The sequence below is a fragment of the Homo sapiens genome, chromosome 5 (genome assembly GCF_000001405.40).
Source record: "Homo sapiens chromosome 5, GRCh38.p14 Primary Assembly".
Lineage (NCBI taxonomy): Eukaryota > Metazoa > Chordata > Mammalia > Primates > Hominidae > Homo > Homo sapiens.
The window spans coordinates 134,117,927-134,131,644 of record NC_000005.10 but is presented as its reverse complement, the minus strand read 5'-3'; the positions used below and the strand labels follow the sequence as shown (position 1 = coordinate 134,131,644).

The following is a 13,718-nucleotide window of genomic DNA, read 5'->3' as shown; positions in this document are numbered from 1 at the left end:
GTTGCATGAAGGCCTCTAGAATCCCGGTGCCTCCAGAACCTGTGCATGCCTCCCTCCTCAGCCACAGGGCTGTGACTTCTTCCCTCAGGTCCCTCAAGCAGAGGGCTGCTCCTGAAGCCTGGTCTGGAGCTGGGAGAGGCCTTGGGGAAAAGCCCATGGAAGGAAGGGCAGATCTCCACCTTGAGCCTTGTGCTACCTCCAGAGCAGAGGCTGACCAGACAGAAAGGTGGGCTATTGCTATGGTTACTGTTCTGTTTGCCAAGCACACAGAGGTGACACTGAGTAACATAAATGCCACGTGTGACAACCCACTTGAGGTGGGCATGATACATTCTTCCCATTTCGCACATGTGGGAAGCAAGGCTCTGTAAGGTGAGAAAGTCAGTCGTGGCCCCACAGCCCTTCCTCCACCAGGTCAGTGCCAGGGCCCTTTATGGGCTCTCCAGGTCTTCAGTGGTGCCAGCCTCATCCTCCCCTTCTCACTCTGTGCTCCAGCCACATCACTGGCTCTGAGGGCCATGATTCCCTCCGCTTGGAGCACTCTTCCACCACTTGGCTTGGCAAACTCCTATCCATCTTTCAGGACTCACATAAATGAGACTTCCTCCTAGAAGTCTATGCTATCCTCCTCATCTGAGGAGGAAGGGGTCCCTTGCCATGCTCACATCCCCAACTCCTTCTGTAGCACCGATCCACTGTGCTATAGTTGACTGTTATCTGTCCTGCCCTTCCTGTGGTCTGGGATTTTGCCCTGAGTTATTTATATTGAATGTATTAGAGCTGGGCCCTTGAAGTTGAGTCCAGTGCAGGTGGGGTGGGAGGCGTGTGTAAGCCAGTGTTTAGGGAAAATGTGACTGCACTAAATAAGGCACCCTGGCTGGGGCTGGGCACAGGGTCACTGCAGCATACAGGTTAGGAAGGTGGGAGGAGCTGGGGCCACTACTTGGACTCAGGACATCCTACCTGGTACCTAAGACCCTTTGGCCTCCTCCTACCCCCGTCCTCTCCTGCCTGCAATACTTTGGGAGTCAGAATGACCAGTCAACATCAGGGCTGCCATTAATTCACATGGGGCATTTGTGCTAATTAGAAAAAGCACCCCTTCTTCTGGACAGACACCTGGGCCATGCCATGCCAGGGCAGTGGCTTGGGAAGCACAGTGCAGGCTGGTCTCAGCCCTTGGCCCAGCTCCCCTGGCACAGCCCCTCCGGTTCTCACTTTCCTTCTTTGCACTGCTAGGGCCCACCAGTCAGCCCCACAGCTCCCTAGGCGTCTGTGTCTAGAGCTAGGGCCCCACTGTCCAGCATCAATGGCGCTTTGTGCCGAGGAGTCTGCCCAGTTGCTGAGCAGGATGCCCCTCAAGCCCTCAGACTACAACAATCGACTTCCTGGGGGGCGGGACAGGGCTTGCCTGCAATATGGACCAGGCCTCGATTTGTGGGCTTTCGCAGACCCCATCTCTGCAGATATACTCCAGTAGGGCTGAGTGCGCCAGCCAGGCTGGAGGCGCCCCTGCTCATGCCCTTTTATCCCTAGCCCCCGCTCCAGGCACCACTGCCCAGGACACGGTGCTCTCCAAAGGACGGCCCGCAAGCTCCCTGCCCACAGCGTGCTGGATGCCCTGTGCCAGACGCCCACCACAAAGCACAGAAAAGCACAGAGTGTGGATGCGTGGCCACCTGAGCTGGAAGGGGTGGGGGATGGCAAGGCCACACCCTCCTGGACCAAGAGGCTTCAGTCTCACCTGCTGGCACAAGGCTGTTGCCACAGTTGCACAGAGCTCTGCTAGGTGCGTGTGGCCAGTCCACCCACCGCCTGGCCTTGACATCAGATAAAGGGGCCTGCCACAGCGGAGGTGGGGACTGGAGTCCCTGCATGCAGCCTTGGCAAACCACAGGCCTGCTCTAGGCCCAACCCGGCCCGAGGCACCCTCGGAACTCACTGAGCCCCACTTAGCCGAGTGGCGTGGCCCATGGCCTCCAGTGGTTTCTATGCATTCGTTTACTTGCGTTTTCCTTCCTCCACTTTGAGGTGAACGCCCCTCAGGACAGGATGTTTTTAGAGGAAAATATAAGCTTCCGGGAGCTGCTGCAACTGAGCTGCTAGTTGATGCTACCAACACAGCCTGGAGACTACACAGCAGCCCTGAGACTGGGCAACCCCCAGCCCAGGCAGTTATTCATGCAGCTCCCCATCAGTGCCCAGCCATCCAGGAGCCCACCGTGGACCGAGGCAAGGCACAACCTCATAGCTCCGCTGTCTTTGGCAGTAGGGAATGGAAAACAGGGATCTGGGGAGGGAGGTGTTTGAGGAGTTCTGAGGCTGTTTCCCTGGGGGCTTTGCAGAAAAGGCAGGAAAATACCAGGTGCAGATTTAGAGATGGCAGCCCCCACTAGTAACAGCCAACTGAGTGTCTCAGTCTGCAGAGCTCCACCCCTGCCGGAATCCCACCAGTCTTCCCAACCACTTTGTGCTGTGCATACAGACTTCGCAGACGAGGAAAGTGAAGCACAGAGAAGCTAAGAATCTTGCCCGAGGTCTCACAGCAAGCAGTGATGGATCTGGATTAGAATCTGGCCCTTTGGGGTTCTTGGCCACAGATCTTTACCATTCAGTGACAGGCCTCAACAGGCAGCACTTCTGCTGGCAGCAGCCTACCAAGAATTTTTCTTGAAACAAATTGGCTAGCAGTGTGGCTCTGAACCTCCCCCTGGCCCTAGGTGAGGGCACTCTGTCCTTGAAGGAGGTGATTTTGATTCTCAGTCATAAATGACCAAAAGAAAAGCAAGAGGTCATCCTTCCCACCGGGTCTGGCTGGTGCTCCCTGGCCCCATGTGTGAGGAGGGGTGGGACAGCCACCGGAGGCTGGGGTGCTCTCGCCACGGCTTGTCCAGCTCCAAGCCCGAGAGTGAGAGCTGAGAGCCCAGGCAAGGCCCAGAAAGGCAGGGGCTCAAGGGCAGAGGGAGAGAGCCTTGGAGATCACCTCCCCAGCCTTGGCCCTGCATTCTTGCCCCAATTTAATCTAGTAGCCTCTGAGAAGCAAAGACAAGACAGGGGTCTTGTCATGTGTTCTGTCCCGCAGCCTGCACCAGCCCTAGGAGGACAGTCCTGCCCTGAGGCCGCCACGGTCATGAAGCGCTCACTCCCCCAGCTATAGCCAGTCAAGACCCCTGGGGCTCTGTCTGGACTGTCTAGCCATTTATCCAAAGGGAAACAAGGCGTGGAAAGGAGCTCCTGGAGGCACCAGGCCCTGGGGTGCTGCTGCCCGAGCCCTCACACCCAGTGTGAGCAGAGGGAGGAGGCTGGGCAGTGCCAACTGCATGGGAGCCTCAGGAGAGCCCTTCATGAGGCGAGTGAGGGAGGGTCACACAAAACTGCCCCAGACAACTCTCAGAAACACACCTGGGTGTAGCATGACGCAAACAGGGCAGAGAGTGAAATACCAAACTGGGGTTGAGGAGTGGGAAGGGATGGGACGGGGGAGCCAGGCACCCAGCTGTGGCTGCAACACACGTGCGCGGCCAAAGACGCAACGGAGTGTAAGGGGAGGGACAGCGAACGCCGAGTCAGATGTCTGGGCTCAAATCCCTCCTCCAGTACCCACTAGGCGCAAGTCTCTCTATGCCTGGGGGTCTCCATTGTAAAACATCCAGGTCTCATGGGGTTGCTGTGAGGATTAGATGAACTAATATTTGTGGTTTTTTTCTTAATATTCCTTTTTTACTTAAGAACAAAATGAAACAAAAGGAGAAAAATCAAAAGCAAGTATGTCCCAAGACAAAGGCTTTTCAGGAACGCCAGCATTGTGCCAGGTTGGGGCCGCCAGCCCTTGATTTCCTCTGGACCACTGCCTGATTCCTGTCAGGCCAGATCACTGAGCTCCTGGCTGGCCCGCAATGACCAGAGAGGATGGGAGGCGGCGGGGCAGCGAGAGAAGAAGAAACTGCCCTCAACGTGCCCCAGTGGGGCTGGCAGCGGCTCTGGTTCCTAAGCGGCTTTCCCACGGGGGAATAAGGTGGGCGGGCGCACCCATACCCTGAGACTCCCTCAGCTGCCTCAGTCCAGCCATTTCCCATGACTCAGAGCCTAGGAAACCCCCTAGCCCAGCCCGGGATCACACAGAGGAGGGTGCCTGGCCCAGGAGTCCAACAGCAGGCACTGAGCTGCATCAGGACCAACACTAGAAAGAGGAAGTGATCCACCTGTAGACAGGTCTTAACTGTCCTTCCATCAGGCACCAAATCGGAATCAATCCTAATGTCATTTACGGATACTTTTCCATATAACATTCCTTCTAGAAGCCCTGGGCACCTGCCTTTCAAGTAAGAAAGACAGCCCTTTTGGCCCTGGGAGCCCTGAACTTGCCAGGTGTCTGGGGAGGAAAGGGGTCATCCCTGACCCAGGCCCAGAGCTATGAGGTGCCCCTGGAGAGGGAGTGAGAGGACTATGGCCTTTCTCTGGGGCCAGAGGAATCCAGCTGGGTCCAGCTTATGAACCTGACAGTGTGCTGGGGGTACCACCCAGCTTCTTGGCCCGCAGTGCCCCCATCTCCACACATTGTACAGCAAATGGGATAGAGCAGGGAGGAGCATGGGTTTCAGGGTAAAACAGACCAAAGTTCAAATCCTGACTCTGCCAGGTATCAGCGCATTCCTTATCCTCTCTGAGCCTCAGTTTCCCCATCTGCAAAAAGGGAGGCCACAATAATACCTACTTTCTTGGCTTGTACGATCTTTTTTTTTTTTTTTGAGATAGAGTCTAGCTCTGTCGCCCAGGCTGGAGTGCAGTGGTGCAATCTTGGCTCACTGTGACCTCCGCCTCCCAGGTTCATGCGATTCTCCTGCCTCAGCCTCCTGAGCAGCTGGGATTACAGGCGTGTGCCACCGCACCCGGCTAATTTTTGTATTTTTAGTAGAGACGGGGTTTCACCATGTTGGTCAGGCTGGTCTCAAACTCCTGACCTCGTGATCCGCCTGCCTTGGCCTCCCAAAGTGCTGGGATTACAGGCGTGAGGCACTGTGCCCTACCGACTTGTACAATCTTGATATGAGTAAAAGCCCCTGGCATAGGCCTGGCACTTGGGAAGTGCTTGACACATGAACTACTGTAGTTGTTGTTATTCTTTCAACAACTGCTTACTGAGCACCTACTGTGTGCCAGGCCCTAGGGTGGGCACTGAGAACCCAGTGGTGAAATGAACAGATGTGGCCTGGGCCCCACAGATCCTCTCCGGCCCTTTCTGGTCCCAACTCCATCCCTAACACCACCCCCTGCAACATGGCCATCGACCCTGTGGCCTTGGCTCTCCCAGGTTCATCTGTCCCCACACCCCCGCCCATGGGGATGCCCACTGCCTCAAAGGCTGCCAGCGAGCTCTGGGGTGGCTGCTGCAGCCAGGCACGCACTCGGTGGCCAGCCCGCCTGGACCTTGGCTGTACCCAGCCAGCAGAGACCTCACTGCTGCCACTGCCGCAAGGCTCTCCACAGGCTGCCTCTCAGCATCTCAGAGGGCCCACCCACCTCTGCCTGCCTGGCCACCACGCCAGCCACAGAGCCATCTGATTTGAATGAAACTTCAAACTTAATGACTTTCATGCTGGTTATTTAAAACACAATGTAATTTTCTAAAACACCCTATTATTTCTTTTGATAGCTACAAAGCTTCCCCCAGTCCCATAAGCATGTTTATTTTTAGGGAAAAGAGTGGTTTGCAGTTGGTCATAGAGACCATAAGGAGAGGGAACCCACACAGCAGGGCAAAGAGTCAACCCTAGCAGCTCAGAGGCCTGTGCTGCCCTGCCTCCTGCTTAGCGGGTTTTCCACCGGACACCGGGGTCTCCCGGGCAGGCCCTGCCCTACTCTCACAAACATGTTGGCAGTGACTCTCGTCCAGCATTGGACAGTGGCCAAGTAAACACCAGACTAGCACCCTCCCAGTGCTCCCCCTCCTTGGGGCCACTGTGTCCTCTTCTGTAAGATGGTTCCACTAGCTTTCCAATAAGGTTCCTACCAGCATTCCAGGCATGACAAGCCTGGGGAAGGGTCCTGAGACCACCACCTCACCCTCAGCAGCCTCCTCCTGGCTCTCCCAGACATTCTGCCTTGGGTACAGCCACAGGGCCTGAAGCTTTCACCAGCTGAGTGAGACCTGTGCCCAGATAAATTGGCTCCAGGCAGTGGCTGCCCACACTGGGAGGGTGAGTGGGTGGGGCCCTGCCAGTCGGGGCTCCCTGGCAAGGGAGGTGGCCTGGTGGTGGGTGGGTGTGCGTGCAGAGGTCAGCTGAGCCCCACCAATGCGGGGCGTCCTCTGGGAGCAGCTATTTTTAAGTCCCAGGCTTTCATGTGGCCAAATGATGTGGAGTTTACAAAGCATCAGTAATGCGTTTCAGATGGCGGCCCAGCAGGCCAGGAGGCTGGGCCCGCTGCCACCAGAGCCAGGTCAGAGTTAGTCAGAATCCCTCGGCCTAGACTCCCATCACCTGTCCCTCCCTCCCCATGACCCCTTCTTGCCTGGTGGGGAGGCTGGCTCTGGAGCAATGCTTGCAAGGAGCTGCCCAGCAAACCCCGGCTGAGGCCCACCCAGCACACAGGCCTCTCCATGGCCAGGGATTCCTACCCCATTTAAGAAACTGAGACCTAGAGAGGTTCACAGATTTGCGTGAGGTCACACAGCAGGGGGAGGGATGGCTTCCTTCCCATCACAGCTCCCTGCCCTCATGGGAAAACTGGGTTTCCTGGGAGGAGGTGATTTGCCACCACTGGCACCCAAACCAGCTCAGACATGGTGGAGTGGGGGCAGGCCTAACCGTGTAAACCCCCAAAGTCCACACCCACTGTTCCCTGGGGCCACGTCCTGCCCATCCATGCCTGGAGCCTCTGCCGCACACTCATCATTTGGAAGCACATGGTGTGGGGCCCAGACAGCTTTCCTGCCCTTGAAGAGCAAGCTAGTGGTTTTAATGGGGGGCAGGGCGGGGGGGTTAGGAGGAAGCTTATTTGGCAGAGTGTCTGCTCCTCTGATCTCTAGGGAGTTCTAGCTATGGAGTTGGGGCTGCGGGGTGAGGGCTTTGTGTCCCCAGGCTTGCTCCGGCTCTAGAGTAGTCTGCTAGCAGAGCCCAGGCAGGTGACCTCCTCCCAGGAGAAGGCCAGACTCAGGCTCACCCCAGGCCAGAGTCCCTATCCAGCAAGGGACAGAGACCCTCTACTCCCTGGGGAACTGGGCAAGAGGAGCCCCATGTTCCAGCAGAAAGCAGGGGAAGGGGGAACCCTCTGAGGAGGACAAGCCCACCCAGGCTGTAGACAGCTTGTGTGCAGCAGCAGAAGCAGGCCACACATTTTTAAGGGAGGAAGGCGGTTTCCCAGGTCCAGACCCCAAGCATGACAGGTCTGCGAAACAGGACAGCAAACTGCCTGAACCAAGAAGCTGACAATGTCCTGGTTTCTCAGAGATGCCCACCCTCCACCCCTGCCAAAGCCCCTGGGACCCTGGAGCTCTGCTAGAGACAGAGCTGGTCAGAGATGCTCTCCACACCCTGGCTGAGTCACCAATGGGCCTTGGGACCTGAGCGAGCCACTGACCTCTGGGGTAGAGTTCCCCTCAGTAATCAGGGGGCCAGACCCTAGGATCCCGAACCCCGAGAGAGCATGAGGGTCAAATGGAAGGATGGGAAAATGGAAAGTTCTCACCTCTGAGGTACCCCTGCCTTGCACTGCCCAACACCCTTGGGTCTTCTCCACCCAAAGCCTACCTCTCCCTTGGCTCTGTTCGAGTTCCTCCCATGATCCCCATGCCTCCTAGCATCCACCCTGCCCCAGCAGCTGGCTCTCCCCGCCTTTGTCCGCCATGTCCAATTCACACCATCTGTGGGTGGGTACCGCCTTGCCCTACCATGATGCCAACATGCTGCATGCGCCCATCAGCTTCTCCCAGGCTCTGGAACCAGCGCTGCCCCAGCACCAAGGTCACAGGCTGGGACCTTCTTCTCCAGTCTCACCGCACATCCTTCGTAGACCCTGGGCCTCTGTCTGCCCCTCTGCTGATGGAGCATGCCAGCCTCTGCCTCTCTCCTCCTTTGTTCCAGTGGGGCCCCCACCCAGAGTGTTCTCCCCCTCTCACCTGTGCAGGCCCCTCTCTCAGGAGCCTCCCCTGCTGCCCCCACTGGCCTCTCCCTCCTCTGTGCCCTTTTCCCAACTCCAGCAGAATCTCAGAGCCGACTTAGAGGCTCCCAGTGAAAGTCTCTTTGTCTCCCAGGACTGAGCTCTGGAAGGGCAGAGGGAGCCCGCCACATGCTGAGCCAGGCGAAGTATAGAGAAGGGGCTCAGTCGGGGTATGGACCCAAGATTACAGCAGAGAATGTGTAGTCTATCGACAGGCTGAGGGCCCAAGGGTAGGGTAGGCCAGAGGGCACTGCCCCAGGGGAGCTGGGAAAGGAAAGTGCAGCCAAGGCCCCAGTCCCACCTCAGCTTTTGGAGCACTCACACTCCTGGTAGAGGCCTTCCCTCTACCACCGCTGCCACTCAGGAGGCACCTACTGTGTGCTGGGTGTTTCACACACTGTCTCTTTCCATTCCACACTGACCCATACAGGTGAGAACCCTCGTTATCCTCAGTTTTAGATAAGAAAACTAAGGCCCAGAGGGCTAAGTAACTCACCCAGGGCCACCCAGCCAAAGAATGGCAGATACAGTGTCAGAGGGTGCATCGTGCAGACTCAACGCCTTCCCTCTGACCACTCCTCTAAGGGGCCTTGGATAAGTCCCTTCCCTGATCTGGCCTCCCTGTCCCCACCTGCAGCAGGAGGATCTGTGCACTGTACCATTGGGGGTGGGGGCCCCTGTGACCTGATAAAACACCTGTTTCCTCCACCAGAGCCTTGTTTGTACACAGCAGCAGGAAGCACCAGTCACAAGGTGTGAGGGGTGTGACTGTATGGCTTTGGGACCACAACAGCCTGCAGAGGCTCAGGGGGGCTGCGGCTTGCCTTGCACCTCCAGGAGGCTCTGGGCCCACCCCTGACCTGCCTGACCTCAGCAGTTATGCGACTTTAAACCAGCACCCCCAGAGCCCTGCTTAAGCTCAGCTAAACCTCCCTCCTTGGAGGGGCTGGGGATGGGGTATGGTCTCCAGAGACCCAGAAAGGGGGCCACCCTCATCTGCTTCAGCCCCACTCACTTGAGTCTCAGAGTAGCTGAGGAGGTGGCAGTGCTGGTATGAATATTCCCGTGTGCTGCCGTGGAAACTGGCTTGGTGGAACCTGGTAGAGCCTGGGGGGAAGGATCCCAGGTCTCAGCAACCAATCCAGGGCTCTTTGCCAGCCCTGGGCCTTGGGAAGGTCTTTCCTACCCTGCTGAGCTAGTACTCACCCCGACTTTCCAGAGGAGGGGCAAACCGCCCTAAATTCCCGGCCATCCCTCCCTGACCCCAGGACAGGGTGGGGCAGGAAGCCTGGCTCTAACCAGGGGTCTGCAGGATCGGCCCCCTTCATGGTGCTCTCCTGGTTTTGAAAGGCATCAAGGCTTTGAGGGAGCCACCCTCAAAGTCCCACCTTGGAAGCAGCAGAAAAGAGGCTGCAGATTTTCCAAATGTGATAGCCAATACTACGCAGCCTTCCAAGGAAAGAAAGGTAATTCAAAATAGCTCACAGTCGCACTGCCCACCACAAACCTATTCAATGCAGAGCAACAAAGGCAGAACTCCATATCAGCTGTGCTGAGCCACTGTAAGCATGGGACACTCACAGCTCAGAACCTACAGCGCACTGGGGCACCAGGGAAGCAAAACGCCTCGACTCTTCCTGCCTCTTGACCCCATAATTCTGTTTGGGTATTATGCTTCAGGAAAATAGTCAAGGTGGAAACGAAAGAGTGATGTGTACAGAACATCATTCACACTGGGAAAGAAGGCAGCCCGGGAGCAAGCCAGAGCCACAGGGGAGGCTGCAAGCAAGGAGGCTGCCCACACCTGTGGCATCGTGGCAAGAATGAGGGGCACGCACAGGGTGGCCACGGCTTCCCAGGCTGATGGCCATGAGGGTTTTTTGCATTTTTTTTTTTTTTTTTGAGGAGTCTGGTTCTGTTGCCCAGGCTGGAGTGCAGTGGCGCAATCTTGGTTCACTGCAACCTCCACCTCCCGGGTTCAAGCGATTCTCCTGCCTCAGCCTCCTGAGTAGAGTAGCTGGGATTACAGGCGTGTGCCACCATGCCCGGCTAATTTTTGTATTTTTAGTAGAGACCCGGTTTTACCGTGTTGGCCAGGCTGGTCTTGAACTCCTAACCTCAAATGATCCACCCACCTTGGCCTCCCAAAGCGCTGGGATTACAGGCATGAGCCACCGCACCCAGCCAATCTTTTTTTTTTTTTTGAAACAAAACAGCTTAAGCTTCTAACATCTCATGTAAAGGACTTCTACATGACTGAGGAAGGGGAGTCTCTTTCAGGTCAATCTTTGGGGTGGTAGGATAGAATTCTGAGAATGCAGTGAGTGGCTGTGGCTCCCTGCCTGGCCCCAGGGATAGCACTTTCCCCTCCTAAGAATCCTGGGTCAGGCAGGGCAGTAAGTAGGCGGCCTGTACACCTGAGTCCCCAGTCCCAGGGTTCAGACCTCCAGACCCCTCCGTGCCCAAGTCCACGTGGGGCCCACAACTGAGCAACCACTGGCCCCAGGGGAGCCAGGCCAGCAAGGGACAAGGGTTCAGTCATGGCTGACTCCCCCTGGCCAGGCCGCACTGGCACCTCCCTGGGCCCCTCCCTGGCACTGCTGCTGGTCCTCACTCCAAATCTGGGAGGAGGGCTCACCACTCCCATTGTGCAGAGGAGGAAACGAACAGCCGGCCTTTCTTAGGGTTAAGCATGGTGAGTGCATTGTAAAGCAGTGCCAACCGTTTGAGCCCGAAGAGTTGCCAGGGCTGGCAAGGCAGCTGGAGCCAAGGGATGAGGAGGGTCCTACTGGGAATGGTCAGAGGAGGCTCCCTGAGGCAGAGACATCTGAATTGAGCCCTGAGTGAGGAACGAGAAGGTGGCGGCTATGTGCAGGGCTGGGGAAGAGACTTCCGAGCGGAGGGAAGCAGTGCAAGAGTCCTGGGGTGGAAAGAAGTTGCTGGCTGTAAGACCCCCTAGGACAGGGAGGGGACTGCTGTCAGGGAGACAGCAAGAGGCTGGTGCAGGTGATGAGGGGCGGCTGGCGGGGGCCACCCAGGCACTCGGCTGTGATGAGTGGCTTCGACTTCACTGCAAGAGCAATGGGAAGCTGATGCGGGGTCTCATCAGGTGAGAGATGTGATCTGACTCTGTTTTTAAAGGCCCCCTGTGGCTGCTACGTGAAGCCTGGACTGTGATTTAGGATGGGGGTTAGGGGTGAGGGAGGGGTCCCCTGGACGCTGTTGCTGCTGTCTGGGTGAGAGATGGCGATGACTGGGGCTTTGGGTGCTGACTGCAGAGTAGTGGGGAGGTTTGGGATGTGTTCAGAGGGAAGCCTGGGGCCTGCCAGTCCCTCCTCTGTCTTCATCTGTTGGACACCCTGTGGCCTTCAGAGTGCTCCTCAGTGGGCCCCCCTTCACAGCCAGGGCTGGGGCCGGCTCTGCCCGGGACACCTCAGTGACAGCGCTCCTCTCGCCAGCTCTGCTTCAGGTCTCTATCTGTCTCCTCGGCTCAGCTGGGCACTCCCGGGGTAGAGCCTGGTTCCAGTCTGGGGGCCCAGTACCTGGTACCAAGCTTGGTGCCAAATTCCCTCCTAACAGGCTTCACTGCAACCAGGGCTGGTGCTCAACACCAATAACTGACGCTTCCCAGCAAGGCCCACAGCTCGCTCTGGGGCGTGTGGAGGCCGGTGGGTGCTCCTGCACCTATGCATCTCTGCAAAGCTCCTCGGACAGGCTGGCCGTGCATCAGCAGCACTTCCTTCCTCTGCTGGAGCCTTGCTCATACCCTCACCTCCTGCTCCCCCAGGCACGCTCTGGACCTGCCGGGAGCCCCAACATGAGTCCACTGCCTCAGTGAGGCTCCTTCTGCTGGACCTGACACCTGATGCCTGACCCCCTGGCTTGGGGCATCCCCAGGCACCTGGACAACTGTGGAGATCAGGGACAGGGACACATGGCCCCAAGTCTGCAACAGCCAAAGGCCTCAGCCTTTTTATTTAATTTGAGATGTAATTCACATATCATAAAATACACTGTTTTAAAGGTTATGTAATTCAGTGGCTTTTAGTATATTCATAAGATTGTGCAGCTGCCACCACGATCTAATTCCAGAACCTATTCATCACCCCAGAAAGTATCTCCATACCCATTAGCAGTCGCTCCCTGGGCCCCTCTTCCGTCAGCCCCTGGCAAGCACTAATCCTCTTTCTGTCTCTATGGATGTGTCTATTCTGGATATTTCATCAAAATGGCAAAAGGCTCGGCATCTGTCTAAGCTACAGACTCCAAGTAGAGCTCATAGAAGAAGCCACAGCTCAATGCAGCCTCATATCAATTTTGGATATGACAAGACTGACTACACTGAGTTTGAGCCTGAGTTTGCCTAAGGAATGATGCCTTACCCATCCCAGAATCCCCCCAAAGTACAGCCTAAGATCAGCTCACTATCTCCCCACTCACCACCTCCACCTACTTTCAGGTCTCAGAGCAGAGCAGAGAAAACCAAACCAAAGTCCAGGCAACACAGTGAGACCCATTGCTACAGAAACAAAAACAAACTTAGCCGGGCATTGTAGTGCATACCTGTAGTCCCAGCTACTCAGAAGGCTGAGGTGGGAGGATGGCTTGAGCCCAGGAGTTTGAGGCTGCAGTGAGCCAAGATCACACCACTGCACTCCAGCCTGGGCAACAGAGTGAGACCTTGTCTCTAAAAAAACACAAACACAAACACAAAACAAAACAAAAAAACCCTGGTTACTGGTCTAGGCCAGTAACTGCCTGCAAGCCTACATCAATCAGGTGCCTGACAGTGTTCATGGAATAAACTTTGACCTAATTTTTTCTTCCTCAAACAAGCTTAAAAGAAGCCAACTACCAAAAAGAAGGAACCTTTTTGGAAGAAAAAAAAAAATGTGTCCCGTGGCAGTTGGCTGTGGGGTGGTCATTCAGCCTATTGCTCCGGGCAAGGTTCGAGCTGGCCTGTTTTGAGGTCTCTAACACAGTAGCCACATGGGCATCCTACCCACACATGGGCAGAGCAGGTCCCTGGTATAGGCTTTCCCTGCTCTTGAGGGAGGTGCAATGACTGGCCTCAAGCCTCTCAGCATAAGTGTTGACCACATAGGTGCCCTCAGAGAGGGCCGGGCAAAGGGCAAGGGGGCCTGGATCTAAGGCCTGTGGCAGGGCCTGAGCAGCAAGCTGTCTGTCCTTTAAAGATGGGCTTGGGAAAGTGACCAGCTTTGGAAAAATCTTCCAAAGGCAGTTTTTCCTCAGGGCCCTTGCAAGGGGCTCCTGACCCAAGAAAAGAAGATCATTCCTGGTTCCAGACACATGAACCTTGAATCCAATAATAAATATGCTTCTAAAATGTGGGGGTGGATTCACTTTGCTTGGTAAAACCCAACCACATTTTCAATGCCCACACGTCTTCAGGTAATGCAAGCAAATGCTCTGACTTGCTATGTGTTTATAACTGGCAGGTTTGCTTAAAAGAGGTTCTCCTACATTCACATACAGCTTCCTCACTGAGTGTCACTCCAACTTACACCTCTGCCTCTGTCCTTTTCTGCAGCCCCACAGAG

At 56.1% G+C, this 13,718-nt stretch overlaps 1 protein-coding gene across 28 annotated transcripts in view, besides 4 other annotated features; it reads right to left on the bottom strand.

Annotated features, from left to right (window-relative positions):
• TCF7 (transcription factor 7) overlaps window positions 1-13,718 on the bottom strand; it is a 39,993-nt gene that overhangs the window by 16,566 nt on the left and 9,709 nt on the right. Inside the window, exon 1 of one of the 28 annotated variants that reach the window (NM_001366502.2) lies at window positions 7,889-8,027. The exons of the other annotated variants lie outside the window; for them this stretch is intronic. Within the exon in view, the coding sequence (NP_001353431.1) occupies window positions 7,889-7,909 (21 nt within the window). The 5' untranslated portion in view covers window positions 7,910-8,027. Of the gene's footprint in view, window positions 1-7,888; window positions 8,028-13,718 lie in introns of those variants that run through there. 28 annotated transcript variants of the gene reach the window in all.
• Window positions 878-1,699: an enhancer, noted in NCBI's record as "H3K4me1 hESC enhancer chr5:133465637-133466458 (GRCh37/hg19 assembly coordinates)". NCBI's record gives its function as "activates a minimal SCP1, AML or CMV promoter by ChIP-STARR-seq in naive and primed H9 embryonic stem cells {active_cell/tissue: H9 hESC(naive and primed)}" and the evidence as "EXISTENCE:reporter gene assay evidence [ECO:0000049][PMID:30033119]".
• Window positions 1,700-2,522: an enhancer, noted in NCBI's record as "H3K4me1 hESC enhancer chr5:133464814-133465636 (GRCh37/hg19 assembly coordinates)". NCBI's record gives its function as "activates a minimal SCP1, AML or CMV promoter by ChIP-STARR-seq in naive and primed H9 embryonic stem cells {active_cell/tissue: H9 hESC(naive and primed)}" and the evidence as "EXISTENCE:reporter gene assay evidence [ECO:0000049][PMID:30033119]".
• Window positions 3,819-4,168: an enhancer, noted in NCBI's record as "active region_23128". NCBI's record gives its function as "activates an Ori minimal core promoter by ATAC-STARR-seq in GM12878 lymphoblastoid cells {active_cell/tissue: GM12878}" and the evidence as "EXISTENCE:reporter gene assay evidence [ECO:0000049][PMID:35858748]".
• Window positions 9,134-9,635: an enhancer, noted in NCBI's record as "H3K4me1 hESC enhancer chr5:133457701-133458202 (GRCh37/hg19 assembly coordinates)". NCBI's record gives its function as "activates a minimal SCP1, AML or CMV promoter by ChIP-STARR-seq in primed H9 embryonic stem cells {active_cell/tissue: H9 hESC(primed)}" and the evidence as "EXISTENCE:reporter gene assay evidence [ECO:0000049][PMID:30033119]".